General features: G+C 35.0%; 1 protein-coding gene across 5 annotated transcripts in view, besides 3 other annotated features; it reads right to left on the minus strand.

The window, feature by feature from the left end:
* Positions 1-14,968, minus strand: part of POT1 (protection of telomeres 1) — a 107,440-nt gene that overhangs the window by 65,885 nt on the left and 26,587 nt on the right. For all 5 annotated transcript variants that reach the window (NR_003103.2, NR_003104.2, NR_003102.2 and 2 more), the window contains exons 4-6: positions 9,991-10,104; positions 8,895-8,942; positions 3,996-4,110 (exon numbers count right to left, since the gene is read on the minus strand). Coding sequence is in view for 1 of the 5 variants with exons in the window: in NM_015450.3 (NP_056265.2) it covers positions 3,996-4,110; positions 8,895-8,903 (124 nt within the window). In the remaining 4 variants the exon portion in view is untranslated. The remainder of the gene's footprint in view (positions 1-3,995; positions 4,111-8,894; positions 8,943-9,990; positions 10,105-14,968) is intronic.
* Positions 4,867-5,008: a silencer, noted in NCBI's record as "fragment chr7:124533191-124533332 (GRCh37/hg19 assembly coordinates)". NCBI's record gives its function as "represses an EF-1alpha promoter that drives an FKBP-Casp9 reporter gene in an ReSE screen in K562 erythroleukemia cells {active_cell/tissue: K562}" and the evidence as "EXISTENCE:reporter gene assay evidence [ECO:0000049][PMID:32094911]".
* Positions 13,879-14,023: an enhancer, noted in NCBI's record as "145 bp 7:124542275 sequence used in MPRA reporter constructs". NCBI's record gives its function as "activates a minimal TATA-containing promoter with rs6466962 allelic activity by MPRAs in C283T melanocytes {active_cell/tissue: C283T}" and the evidence as "EXISTENCE:reporter gene assay evidence [ECO:0000049][PMID:36423637]".
* Position 13,951: a transcriptional cis regulatory region, noted in NCBI's record as "rs6466962 or 7:124542275 MPRA-significant variant associated with a GWAS melanoma risk locus at 7q31.33". NCBI's record gives its function as "allelic transcriptional activity by MPRAs in C283T melanocytes {active_cell/tissue: C283T}" and the evidence as "EXISTENCE:reporter gene assay evidence [ECO:0000049][PMID:36423637]".

A 14,968-nucleotide genomic window follows, 5' to 3' on the forward strand; every position in this document is an offset into this window, starting at 1 on the left:
ATAATAAACGTGTGGGCTTATTTCTAGGCGCTCTATTCAATTCCATTAATCAGTATGTCTGGCTTCATGGCAGTACCATACTGTCGCAATACTGTTACTTTTTAACGTATTTTGAAATTAGAAAGAGAGAAGCCTCCAGGTTTGATCTTTCTCAGGATTCTTTTGGCTATTCAGGGTCCTTTGTGTTTCCATATGAATTTGAAGATTGATTTTTATTTTTCTATAGAAAATGCTACTTGGATTTTGATAGGGAATACATTGAATCTGAGATGACTGAGTAGTATGACCATGTTAATAAAGGCATAACTCATGTAATTGTACTTTACTTTGTTGTACTTTGTAATACTGCAATTTTATAAATTAAAGGTTGTGGCAACTCTGCATTGAGCAAGTCTACTGTCACCATTTTTGCAACAGTATGTGCGTCTATGTTACATTTTGGTAATCCTCACAATACTTCAGACTTTCCCATTTTCACTGTATCTGTTATGGTGATCTGTGATCAGTGATCTTTGGCATTACTATTATAATTGTTTTGGGGTAGCACAAATCACACCCATATAAGACAGTGTACTTAACCAATAAATATGTGTATTCTAACTCCCCCATCAACCTGTCATTCCCCTCTCCCTCTCCTGAGGCTCCTTATTCTCTGAAACACAACAATATTGAAATTAGATGACTTGATAACCCTATAATGGCCTATAAGTGTTCAAGTGAGAGAGTCACATGTCTCTCACTTTAAATCAAAAGTTACAAATGATGAAGCTTAGGAAGGCATATATCCAAAGCTGAGATACACTGAAAACTAGGACTCTTGTGCCCAGTTAGCCAAGTTGTGAATACAAAGAAAAAGCTCCTGAAGGAAATTAAAGGTGCTACTTTAGTGAACACATGAATGAGAAGAAAGTCAAAGAGCCTTATGGCTGATACACAGAAAATTTTAGTCGTCTGCATAGATGATCAAACCAGTACAACATTCCCTTAAGCCAAAGCCTAAAGTAGAATGAGGCACTAACTCTCTTCAATTCTTTAAAGGCCAAGAGAGGTGGGAAGGCTAGAGAAGACAAATCTGAAGCTATCACATTGGTTCATGGCATTTCAGAAAAGAAGCCATCTTCATAAGATAAAGTACAAGGTGAAACAGCAAGTAGCAAGTGCTGATGAAGAAGATGGAGCAAGTTATCCAGAAGACCTAAGATCATCAACGAAGGTGGCTACACAAACCAACACATTTTCAATGTAAACCAAACAGTCTTCTCTTGGAACAAGGTGCCATCTAGGACCTTCACAACTATGGAGAAGTCAATGCCTGCCTTCAAAGCTTCAAAAAACAGGTTCACTCTCTTGTGAGAGTCTAATGCAGTTGATGACTTTCAGTTGAAGCCAATACTCACTTAGTCTCAAAATCCTAGGGCCTTTCAAAATTAGCAAAACCAACTCTGCCTGTGCTCTTTAATGAAACAACAAAGCCTGGATGACATTGCTCACAGCATGGCTTTCTGAATACTTTAAGCCCAACGTTGAGACGTACTGCTCAGCAAAAAAGATTCTTTTCAAAATATTACTGCTCATTGACAGTGCACCTAGTCACACAAGAGCTCTGATGGAGATGTTCAAGATCAATGTTATTTTCATGCCTGCTAATACAATATCCATTCTGCAGCCCACAAATCAAGTAATAATTTTTACTTTTAAGTGTCATTATTTAAAAAAAATACCTTTTATAAGGCTATACCCACCATAGATAGCAATCCTTCTGATGGACTGCGGCAAAGTAAATTAAAAACCTAGAAAGTATTTATTCTAGATGACATCAAGAACATGCATGATTCATGTGAGGTCAAAATCCAACATCAACAGGGGTTTGGAAAAAGTTAATTCCAACCCTCACAGATGACTTTGAGGGGTTCAAGACTTTGGTGGAATTAAGTCACTGCAGATGTGGTGGAAACAGTAAGAAAACTAGAATTATAAATGGAGCCTGAAATTGTGACTGAATTGGTGCAATCTCATAATAAAACTTCAACAGATGAAGAGTTGCTTCTTATGGATGAGGAAAGATAGTTTCTTAAGAAGTAATCTACTCCTGGTAAAGGTGTTATGAATATTTTTGATATGACAACAAAAGACTTAGAATATTCCATAAACTTAGTTGATAATGCAGCAGCAGGGTTGACAAGGACTAAAATTTTGAAATAAGTTCTACTGTGAATAAAATACTATCAAACAGCATCTCATGTTACAAAGAAATCTTTTGTAAAAGGAAGAGTCAATTGATATGAGAAACTTCAGTATTGTCTTATTTTAATAAACTGTCACAGCTACACCAGTCTTCAGAAAACTCCATCCTGACCAATCAACCTATCATCTCCACCAGCAAAACGATGATAACTCGCTGAAGGCTCAACTTATCCTTAGCATTTTTTAGCAATACTGTATTTATCATCAAGGTGCATACATTTTTTAATGTAAACTAGTACAAACACTATAAAAAACAGCATGGAGTTTCCTTAATTGCTCAAGAGTGTATTGTTTAATATCCACACATCTAAATTTTATAATTTTCCTCCTGCTATTGATTTCTAGTTTGATTTTATTGAAGTCAGAAAAGATCTTGCTATTTTAAATTTATTCACTTGTTTTGTGACCTAACGAGTTATGTATACTGGAGAATGTTCCATGTGCACTTAAGAAAAATGTATACTCTGTTGTAGCTGGGTAGAATATTCTGCATATGTCTGATACGTCTGTTAGGTCCATTTGGTCTACAGTGTTGTTCAAGTTTTCTGTTTCCTTATTGATCTCTGTCTGGATGGTCTCCCCCATTATTGGAAGTGGTGAAATGAAACCTCCTACTATAATTGTGTTGCTGTCTATTTCTCCCTTCACTTCTGAAATGTCTGCTTCATGGATTAAGCGCTCTGATGTTAGCAGCATACATAATTGTTATATTTTCTTGGTGAATTAACCCTTTTATCATTATGTGATATCCAAAAACTGCCTGTTGTGACAGTTTTTGACTTAAAGTCTCTTTTGTCTGATGTAAGTATGGCCACTTCTCCTCTTTTGGTTACCATTGGCAAGAAGTATCTTTCTCCATTCCTTCACTTTCATTTAGCCTATGTGTGTCCTTAAATCTAAGGTGAGTTTTTGTAGACAGCATATAGTTGTATCTCGTTTTTTTTAATGCACTCAGCTACTCTATGATTTTTTATTAGGTAATTTAATTCATTTATAATAATAGTAGTTATTCATTAGGAAGGTCTTACGATTGCCATTTAATTCACTGTTTTCTATCTGTCTTGTGACACTCAATTCCCTATTTTCTTCTCTTGCTATCTTCCTTTGTGTTTCATTATTTTGTAATGACATGCTTTGATTCCCTTCTCATTTTCTTTTGTGTATCTTTTATAGGTATTTTCTTTGTGGTTACCATGGGGTTTACATAAAGTACCTTATATTTATAGCAATCTACTTTAACCTGACAATTTAACTTTAATTGCATACAAAAACTCTACACTTTTACTTCTACCCCCCACCACACTTCATGTTACTGACGTCATAATTTGCATCTTTTTATACTATGTATCCATTAACATATTTCTATAGTTATAGCTTTTATATATTTGCCTTTCAACTTCTATAACAGAATTAAACGTGATTTATGCATCAATGTTACAGAATTGCAGTATTCTGCATTTGTTTATATATTTACCTTTTCCAGTGAATTTTATATTTTCATATGGTTTCACGTTGCTGTTTGGCATCCTTTGCTTCATTCTTTGTCCTTACTGTCTTTAACTAGACTCTAGAATCTAAAGATCACGTTTATTTTACAAATTAAACTAGCCAAAGAATATGCATCAGTGTTGTTTGGCAATTATAGGTCAGAACTGAGCTTCTATTCTAGGACTTAGGGTACAGATGGAACCGTGTTCCTAAATCAATAATGCATTTCCACTCCAAAAAACTCCACCAGTTTTAATACCTACCAGTTCCTTTGCTTAGATATGGGGGCTTAAAGAACTTCACAACACCATAGACATTGACAATTGTACCACCCTTAAGTTGATTCAGGGGTGTATATATATAATTTGTTGCTGGAACCTAAAGAAAGAGAAGACAGTGAATACATTTATACAAAGTATTTACATTGTAGAATCATGTTATAATCATATTAGCAGCAAATCCATGTAACTATTTTATCCTTTTAAGTGTCTAAAAGAAGTTATAACCTGAAATAAGGCAATGCACACAGCTTAGCTTATCCAACTAGTTTTCCTTAGAACTTTGTTTATAAATGGTACAATTTGCACACTAGCTCATAAAGGCATAACCTATAATCTAATTAAAACATTATACTTCTTCAATAAAAACATAGCAAACAGCATATACATATAGTCCCTGACTTATGATGGTTCAACTTACAATCTTCTGACTTTAGAATGGGTCTATTAGGCAATTTAATGCATTTTGTATTTATAAAATTTTTGACTTATGATGGGTACACTGGATGTAACTTCATTGTAAATCAAGGAGCATCTGTAGTGAAAAACAGCAATACATGTCAAAACTGAAGCAATAACACAAAACAAGAAAATACTTTTTTTTAAATATGTACATCTTCAATGTAAAAGGTCTAAGAAAAGAGAGTTTTATTAAAGGTAAATGACTAGGCATAAAGAGATATTTTTAGAAGCCCTGAAAATGCAACTAGAACACTAGTCTTAACAATACAAGTTACATCTCTTGTAAGTTTAGAAAACTTTTTTTTTAAGGACACTCTCAAGGAATCTTTTAGTAATTAAATCATCCTAGCTATCTTTAAGTTAGTATATCCCTAGCTTATTTGGTCAAGAAACTGTAGCTGGGGGACAATAAATCAAACTGTTAACAGAGAGCAAATTCTAAAAAATGCAATTTAAGAGATTTTGGTTCTATTTTTTAACTAATATCTCTTTGAAACTTGTGGTACAATTTCTCTCTTCCCCTTACCCCCATGCTATTATAGAGATTTTCCATAGGCCTAAATTTTGACTCATAACTCAAGCCAGGTTTTGAGTCATAAATGGTATAAAAAGATTTAAAATGCTAATAATGAAACCCTACCCCAAAGAATTAAAACTAACAATTCCTAAATTCTTGGGCTTACAGTATAGTAGATAAGAAATGAAAACTTATTGAGAAGTTGAAATCAGCAACTAACACAAATTCTTGAGCTTGCAGAATATCAGATAAGAAAAGAAACAACTTGCTGAGATACTACTGAAACTCCTACTGATTTTGAGAGCAGGAAAAAACTATCTGAAATCAGTTGAAACCAAGATGGCTGACTGGAATTTGAGAACGAGTCTGCTGATATCACAGTATGAATTTCCATCACATTCATCATACTAACTCCACCTGAATTTGCACATGCAACCCATGCATTAATGTGAAGAAATAACTATGCTTGCCCAAGGACTTTCCAAACTTCCCCTTTCATCCAACTAATGACTTACTAATCCCAGTATCTACTCTTTAAAACTTTTCTAATAAAATTACTGCCTTAAAGACAGCGCAGGGAGACATATTTGAGCTCAGCTCGTGTCTCCTTAGGTGTTGACTTTCAGCTTTTCTTTTCTCAAAAATTTGATTTCACAGTATTGGCTTATAACACATCAGGTAGCGAGCTCCTTTTGTTCTATAATAATAAGAGAACCAAAAGATAATTTTTTGAAATAACTGTGAATAAGTTGGGAAAGAAAAGGGAAAGTGGTTTACAAGGACATGTTTGCATATTAACAGTGATACTAAATAAAGCCTTAAAGGGCTTTGTATAAGTGATCCCAACATCAAATGGAAATAAGGATACCTATCACTCTGAGAGTTAAAATTTTAAAACTCAAATTAAAAAATTAGTTTTTCCAAGGAGGCTTCTCAGTTTAAACAAGAGTAGAATTTGCTAATCTAATCAAACTTCAATATAAAGAAAGCTAGCTCATCAATGATTAAAAAAAGAATGATGGAATAATGGAATGGAAAGAGAAATAATGGAAGAGAAGCATACTGAACAGTAGGGAGAAAACATGTGCTTAGCTTACACTCAATATTCTATCTTAACATCTCATGGAGAGATGAATGGGAAAGGCCAGCAAAACTCAATGACACTAACCATTATAATCAACCAAGTAACCGCCATTTGTTAATTCATTACCAATAAACAACTTCTTGTTTGGCTTTCCATGCAAATCAGCAAGTATTTATGTGTACAACAGCTAAGATATAAACCTCATTATAAATTCATAAATTGATATTTTTTGCTTCTTAATCATTCTCTAATGAGTTGGGTTAATATTCTTACAAGTTTGGTTAATGTACCATTGAGTAAGCTCACACTTCAACAAGGTAATTAAATTTACATGATTCCCAATAAGCCCTATCTTAGTAGCCAATTTGCCTCCCTTGCTGACACAATAAAGTATTGTATTCCATAAAAAAGGACTGTAGAGGGACATCCAAATCAGTGTGAACAAATGTGTTAGCGGGAGAAATAGTGTAGTTAGTAGGAGAATGGTAAGCAAAGGCTTTCTGAAGGTGGCAACAAAATCTAAATTTTGAAGGACAAGTAACAAGGAGAAATGATAGCATATACTAGCATTATGTAATCAGGGATCTGAAAATAGTTTCACACTGCTGGTGCAAAAGGCACATGGCTAATATCTAAAGCAACAGGCATATAATATTTATGACATCCTAACAACTCCTAGGTTAATAAAACTAGCACTTACAAAAATACTTGTTGAGGGTTTTTATTGCTCACTAAATAATCTAGAACAGTACTATCCAAGATAATCTTCTATGATAATGAAAATATTCTATATCAATATTGTGGCTACTCAGGAATTTAAATATGACTAGTGCAAATCATGAACTGAATTTTTAAAAGCCACACACAGCTAGTTGCTCATTATCGCACAGCACAGGCATATGTCCATGAGAAAACCATCGGCTCATGATATACTAAAGATAACTTGATAGCATTATCATTAAGTACATCACTTGATCCACATTTCACACAGACATGAACAATTTTTTTTTTTGACTGCTTAAGGGGCAGCCCATTATGGAATCAATCAGTCAGGAAAATGTGAGCCCTGGTTAAATGAGATGCAATTTACAGCATATGCAGAAAGTTAACTAGCGGACAAAAATCAAGCACAGCAGACAATAAAAGCCTGAAGAGAGAAAGACACCTAGCAGCATAATTCGATTCATTCATTCCTTTATTTATTTCTGTCCTTCCTTCATTCATTCATTGATGGGCTATGTACTATACGGGGCACTAAAAATAAGTGTGAACAAAACACAAATAGACCCTGCACCAATGGAAGAACAAACCATAAAAGCGGAGAGATGTCTTAGAATTGTCTTAGAAGGTCTATTTGAAAAGATATTTAAAGAAAGAACTAATTAAATGAAGTACAGAAGTTGGGAATGAGATAAGCAACAGTGTTCCAAGCAGAGAAAACACATTCAGTATATTTGAAAATCCAGGAGGTTTGGATGGCTGGAGTGTACTGGTCAAAGGTAATGACAAGATTAGGTTGAATAAAAATATAGGGGATAGTTTATATTGGGCCTTCAGATCACATAAGTGGGCTAGTAAAGCTTTTAAATCCTGAAGACAATACAAGATCAAATGATTACCCTGAGTCACTTGAAAAGCAAACTTTCTACCACTGAAAAACAAATACTCTATTTTCTAAATTCTAAAAACACCCTGGTCCTCATAGACTACACTTTTAATACTATATTCTCAAAAAAATACACTTTTTCAGGAAAACAAGAAACTCAAAAACAGTAACTCCGTTTTCTTGATATCAACTGCAAGATCCATGCTCAGTTTAAAAATGTAGAAATGTAAAAACAAGCATCTTTTGATGAGTCAGGAAAATAAAGTCAAATAGATCTATGCTTGATTTAACTTACAATACCTAGGCTTTGTGAAAAAATATTTTTGCAAAGTTCAGAGGCTTTTTCATTTATTCCCGCCTTATTTACAGGTTCGCAGATATATCAAATATTTTAAATTAAACAATTTATAACAATTTTGGGAAATACTAATACCAGAGCTAACTCACATTTTTCAAAAAGTACATCAGTTCTTTTATTGGTAACAGTTCCCCCAAAAATATTAATTATACTAATACTCAGAATTTAGTAACTGTGTCCTACAGTCATTGTCAACCAGAAACAGTTCCTGAATTCTGTCCATTTGAAACTAAAGGTTCAAAAACATAAGTAGAACATAAACATCATATTAAACTATACCAATAAATTATTAACACCTTCTTTCCAGTTTCACTCGGCTACAAGTAGACTATCTGTAAAAATGGGAATGGGCATCTTCCTATTGCTATAAGGAAGCTATAGCTATATCTATGCTATAAAATAGTGGGGAAAATGGTTAAAAAGAAATGTATCATAAGTATAAGAAAACTACTTAAAATTATATAATTTGTTCAATTATATAATTCAGCACATAATTGTCTGGTTAAATACAAGCTAATGTAAAAAGAAATGAATTTGCCTATGGTTTATAACAAAAATTTAAGGATCTTCATACAGTAAAAACTTATTTTATTTTTCTTGTGTATGTATAGCTTACACAAAATATCAGCAGATATTCCAGACAACAGAATATTCAGATATTGATTACTAGGTAAAATATATAACTCTAATATAACATTATCAGCTATAAAAAAGTAAAGATTATGTTTTTCCAGTGTATTGATAATATATCAATATCAGACTACAAAGTGGACTGAATATACATACACATGTATCTATGTGTGTGGCATATACAGGTATAGGTGTAATACTCTAAATTAAACTGAATATCATCTTACCAAAGACATTGATTCTGTAGAAAAATCTCTTAAAGATTTGACATAAACCTGAAGGAAAAAAAGAAAGAACTTATTTGTATACAGATAACCTCCAATGTGATTACATGCTTTTAGTTGTAGTAAAAGTACACACTTACTTGTAAAATATTCAAATTCACTAGGATGACATAAAGTTATGGCTTACAAATTAAAAGTGAAATGTGCAAAGTTGTCTAAGCTACAGAAACTTAAAAAAAAAAGGCAAAGATATAAGGTCAAATGAAAATGTACTTTATTAAAATATTAGTGTTCTTACAGATTAAATCTGAAGCACAGCAATATTCAGTTCTCAGGACAGTTCTCAGGATAGAATGTAAAAGAATGCCAACTCCTATCAGTCCAATAGAAGTGGAAAATCAGAGCTGATATTCAAAATTTTTCCTGCATAGAACCTTAGATGTTTTCAGAAAGAAAAAAATCAATAAGGAAGTGCTTCAGTGATCACTCTAACTGCAAATTTTACCCATCTCCAGCCTAATTCATTAATTTTAATATCAAGCAGAGCCACCACCAGTGCTTATAGTACCTTTGTGCATACTAGAAAAAAAAAGGCAGATGTTGGCCTGCAGGCTTTTGGCTTAGCCCAATTCTACCTAATAGCCTTGACTAAAAAGGCAGTTTTCAAGTGTGTGTGTGGAAGGTAGGGTGTTAAAAGAGGAAAGGAGAGGAAGGCCATCTTCACAACGAATAAAGTAGGAGAAGGAAAAAATCCGTTTTACCTAAAGAGGGGTAGTTGATTAATTTAAAGTGAAATCAAGTAGAACAAAGTGCCTGATGGCATAATCACAAAGAATATCCAGTCTAGAATGTCTGTGCGGTTTTGTAAGTTTCATTAATAAGTATTTATTAAATATAAAGGAATTCCCTATTCTATCTTGTCATTCGAAAAATAAAACCAAGAAAAAAAAACTTCTATTTTTTAAACTTAAAATATTCAATTAAAATAATTTAGTCAGACCAAGTAGTTTATCTGCAGATTTACAGAAATACTTTCAATCCCATCACTTTAGCTCATTAAATCTGCAATGTAATTAGAGAATAAAAGCTGCATACTTACATAAACAGTTGATTTGAGGTCTTCAAATGCTTTCAAAAATATGCAAGGTTTACCATCTCTGCTTGTAGATGAAGAAGCTAAAAAAACAATAAATCTAGCCACTGCAATGGTGTCCTACATAGAAAAAAAAAAGTTTTTGAATCAATCACCAAAATACGTATAATTTGGAATGTCATATAAATCCTTATTTATATTATTATGTTTAGAATAAAAATTACCTCTATAAAGTAGAAAACTGGTTAACCTAAACTTGTTTAACACTTGCTGAATACATTATTTAGACTACCACTTCCTCTAAAACATCTTCAACATCTACAGCTACAATATAGCCACAGATGACAATAACGTCCCACTTCATGGACCAGGAAAATGCTAAATCACTAAGAAAGTTTTATGTAGTGAAACTCAGATGTTCCAATAGTAATAAGGATGGAATTTAAATGAAACTAAATCTCAAAGTTGAGAAACTACATTGAGAAAGGCATGACAGTGCAAAAACTCCACATATTACAAAACTAATATATGTGCATACAAATACAGGGCATGGACATAATAAGAAATTTCCATTTATATACTAATAAGAACAAAGATATTTTCTTTCTACTTAGGTTTGTAACAGTAGTAAGAAGCCATTCTCCATTTATCCCTTCCTCTCTCATTCTTTAAATTTCCTTTTCTTATTTTCCAAATACTAAAACAGAAATACTAAAAGAGTTTTGCATTGCTGCATATATATTTTTCATTGTCTTACTCCCTTAATTTTAACAACGAAACCTTAAGATACACCAAAATGTCTGGGCTTTTGGTCATCTTCCTTCAATAATTTAAAACTCTATCAAGTGGAAGTCTTCTGCATTACCACAGTGTGCTCTGCACATACAAGGGCCTGGTGTCAATTCTCACAATCCTCTATTCAGATTTAATAATTGGACTGAGAGCATACTGAAGATAGTGGTCATTTCTAATTCTGCTCTGTATTTACAGGACTTGGCACAAAGCAGGCCCTCCCAAAACAAACTGTCTATGAATCAAACGAAAGACCTTATTTTGCCTTTTCTAAAAATCTCTTGCCCTAACCAGGTATTGTAGCTCTGCAATTCCTGCGTTTTTTTCTTCACATGAGATTGCAAACATAACTGAGTGTATGCTGATAATGCCAAATTACCACAACTCTTCATAGTTCAATGGGAGAAAATTTTTCTTCTTACTGAAGATTTTATATTTCTCCGAAACCTTTTATGCAGTTTAAAAAAATAAAATGAACATGTTTCTGGAATAAAAATAACAACTGAGTTACCTTTTTTCAGTTTTACAAACTGAAGTATACACTCTGTTTTCAAGTGACCTCAAACCAATACATTCTGATTAAATGAAAACTTGAGATTTTAGTCAAAGATTTAAAGTTGTTTATCAAACTAACACCGGAAGATAAACAGAAGTAGGGAAGCCAACAGTTTATCAGTTCTAAATTATCCAAGTAGAAAAAAAAACCTACCTCTTGTTATCCTCTGTTCCACTTAAAAATGTTTTCAAAAGTAAATATTATACACCAAATGCAAATGTTAGAGTACAGATGACCATTTTTTTTCTATTTTCCTGTAGATTCTAAACTTTTTTAAAAGACTGAGTATGTATGCATTTCTTTTATCATGAAGAAAAATTTTGAAAAGAATAAATGACTAAAAGCTGGACATCAGCATTCATAAGAAAAATTTTTCTGAATTTAACAGTAGCTACACACAATTCAGTAAAAAGTTACAACCCTTCCTCTGGCATATATTCAACAGCATGGAAATAACAATCACAGTTTTTTTTAATTGAAATGCATTTATTATATTCATAAACATGGATTTATATTTGAATATACATATAAAAACTGCATTGAAGGCCCTTCAGTGATCTCATCCCAAGCAACTCTGCCTGTTTTATTTCCACATACTTCCCATTCAATATTAGACAAATTGGATCCTCTCATAAGTATAGTGCTTTTCCACATATATTCTTTATTTATTTTGAGCCACTGCTACAAATAAATAACATGTTTCCCATCTGTACATATCTGACCTAATCTATATTTCAAAGTCTAGCCTTCTTCTTCCTGGTAGAATCTATCACAGATTCTCTCTCAGAAACAAGTAATTCTACCTTCCTCTAAACTCTCCTATACAGCGTTTTAGCATTTTTCACTTTGTATGTTATTTACAAACTTTTCTTAATGCCTTTAAAGCCCTTAAAGTCCTGTAAGTTCCTTGGACTGAAAGTAATGGAGATCATTCCAAGATGGCCGAATAGGAACAGCTCCACTCTACAGCTCCCAGTGTGAGCCACGCAGAAGACGGGTGATTTCTGCATTTCCAACTGAGGTACTGGGGTCATCTCATTAGGACTTGTTGGACAGTGGGTGCAGCCCATGGAGTGTGAGCTGAAGCAGGGCAGGGCATCGCCTCACTGGGGAAGTGCAAGGGGTCGGGGAATTCCCTTTCCTAGCCAAGGGAAGCCATGACGGTCAGTACCTGGAACATCGGGACACTCCTGCCATAATACTGTGCTTTTCCAACGGTCTTAGCAAACTGCACACCAGGAGATTATATCCCATGCCTGGCTCATCAGGTCCCATGCCCACAGAGTTTTGCTCATTGCTGGCACAGCAGTCCCAGATTGAACTGTGAGGCTGCAGCGAGTCTGGGGGAGGGGCTTCCACCATTGCTGAGGCTTGACTAGGTAAACAAAGCGGCTGGGAAGCTTGAACTGGGTGGAGCCCACTGCAGCTCAAGGAGGCCTGCCTGCCTCTGTAGATTCCACCTCTGGGGGCAGGGCATAGCTGAAGAAGAGGCAGCAGAAACTTCTGCAGACTTAAACGTCCCCATCTGACAGCTTTGAAGAGAGCAGTGGTTCTCCCAGCATGGAGTATGAGATCTGAAAATGGACAGATTGCCTCCTCAAGTGGGTCCCTGACCCCTGAGTAGACTAACTGGGAGACACCTTCCAGTAGGGGCCAACTGACACCTCACACAGCTGGGTGCCCCTCTGAGACGAAGGTTCCAGAGGAAGGATCAGGCAGCAACATTTGCTGTTCTGCAATATTTGCTGTTCTGCAGCCTCTGCTGGTGATACCCAGGCAAACAGGGTCTGGAGTTGACCTGCAGCAAATTCCAACAGACCTGCAGCCGAGGGTCCTGACTGTAAGAAGGAAAACTAACAAACAGAAAGGAATAGCATCAACATCAACAAAAAGGACATCCACACCAAAAACCCATCTGTAGGTCACCATCATCAAAGACCAAAGGTAGATAAAACCACAAAGGTCAGGAGAAACCAGAGCAGAAAAGCTGAAAATTCTAAAAATCAGAGCACCTCTTCTCCTCCAAAGGATCACAGCTCCTCGCCAGCAATGGAACAAAGCTGGACAGAGAATAACTTTGATGAGTTGGCAGAAGTAGGCTTCAGAAGATCAGTAATAATAAACTTTTCCAAGTTAAAGGAGGATGTTTGAACCCATCGCACATAAGCTAAAAACCTTGAAAACAGATTAGACGAATGGCTAACTAGAATAAATAGAGAAGACCTTAAATGACCTGATGAAGTGGAAAACCATGGCACAAGAACTACATGATGCATGCACAAGCTTCAGTAGTTGATTGGATCAAGTGGAAGAAAGGGTATCAGTGACTGAAGATCAAATGAATGAAATAAACTGAGAAGAGAAGTTTACAGAAAAAAGAGTAAAAAGAAATGAACAAAGCCTCCAAGAAATATGGGACTATAAGAAAAGACCAAATCTACATTTGATTGGTGTACCTAAAAGTGATGGGGAGAATAGATCCAAATTGGAAAACACTCTCCAGGATATTATCCAGGAGAACTTCTCCAATCCAGCAAGGCAGGCCAACATTCAAATTCAGGAAATACAGAGAACGCCACAAAGATGCTCCTCGAGAAGAGCAACCTCAAGACACATAACTGTCAGATTCACCAAGGCTGAAATGAAGGAAAAAATGTTAAGAGCAGCCAGAGAAAAAGGTCAGGTTACCCACAAAGGGAAGCCCATCAGACTAATAGTGGATCTCTCAGGAGAAACTCTACAAGCCAGAAGAGAGTTGGGGCCAATATTCAACATTCTTAAAAAAAGAATTTTCAACCCAGAATTTCATATCCAGCCAAACTAAGCTTCTTAAGTGAAGGAGAAATAAAATCCTTTACAGACAAGCAAATGCTGAAAGATTTTGTCACCACCAGACCTGCCTTACAAGAGCTCCCGAAGGAAGCACTAAACATGGAAAGGAACAATTGGTACCAGCCAATGCAAAAACATGCCAAATTGTAAAGACCATTGAGGCTAGGAAGAAACTGCATCAACTAATGAGCAAAATAACCAGCTAACATCATAATGGCAGGATCAAATTCACATATAACAATATTAACCTTAAATGTAAATGGGCTAAATGCTCCAATTAAAAGACACAGAATGGCAAATTGGATAAATCGTCAAGACCCCTCAGTGTGTTGTGTTCAGGAGACCCATCTCACATGCAGAGACAAACATAGGCTCAAATTAAAGGGATGGAGGAAGATCTACCAAGCAAATGGAAACAAAAAAAAGCAGGAGTTGCAATCCTAGTCTCTGATAAAACAGACTTTAAACCAACAAAGATCAGAAGAGACACAGAAGGCCATTAAGTAATGGTAAAGGGATCAAGTCCACAAGAAAAGCTAACTATCCTAAATATATATGCACCCAATACAGGAACGCCGAGATTCATAAAGCAAGTCCTTAGAGACCTACAAAGAGACTTAGACTCCCACACAATAATAATGGGAGACTTTAACACCCCACTGTCAACATTAGACAGATCAAAGAGATAGAAAGTTAACAAGGATATCCAGGACTTGAACTCGGCTCTGCACCAAGCGGACCTAATAGACATCTACAGAACTCTCCACTCCAAATCAACAGAATATACATTCTTCTCAGCACCAC

The sequence above is a fragment of the Homo sapiens genome, chromosome 7 (genome assembly GCF_000001405.40).
Source record: "Homo sapiens chromosome 7, GRCh38.p14 Primary Assembly".
Taxonomy (NCBI): Eukaryota; Metazoa; Chordata; class Mammalia; order Primates; family Hominidae; genus Homo; species Homo sapiens.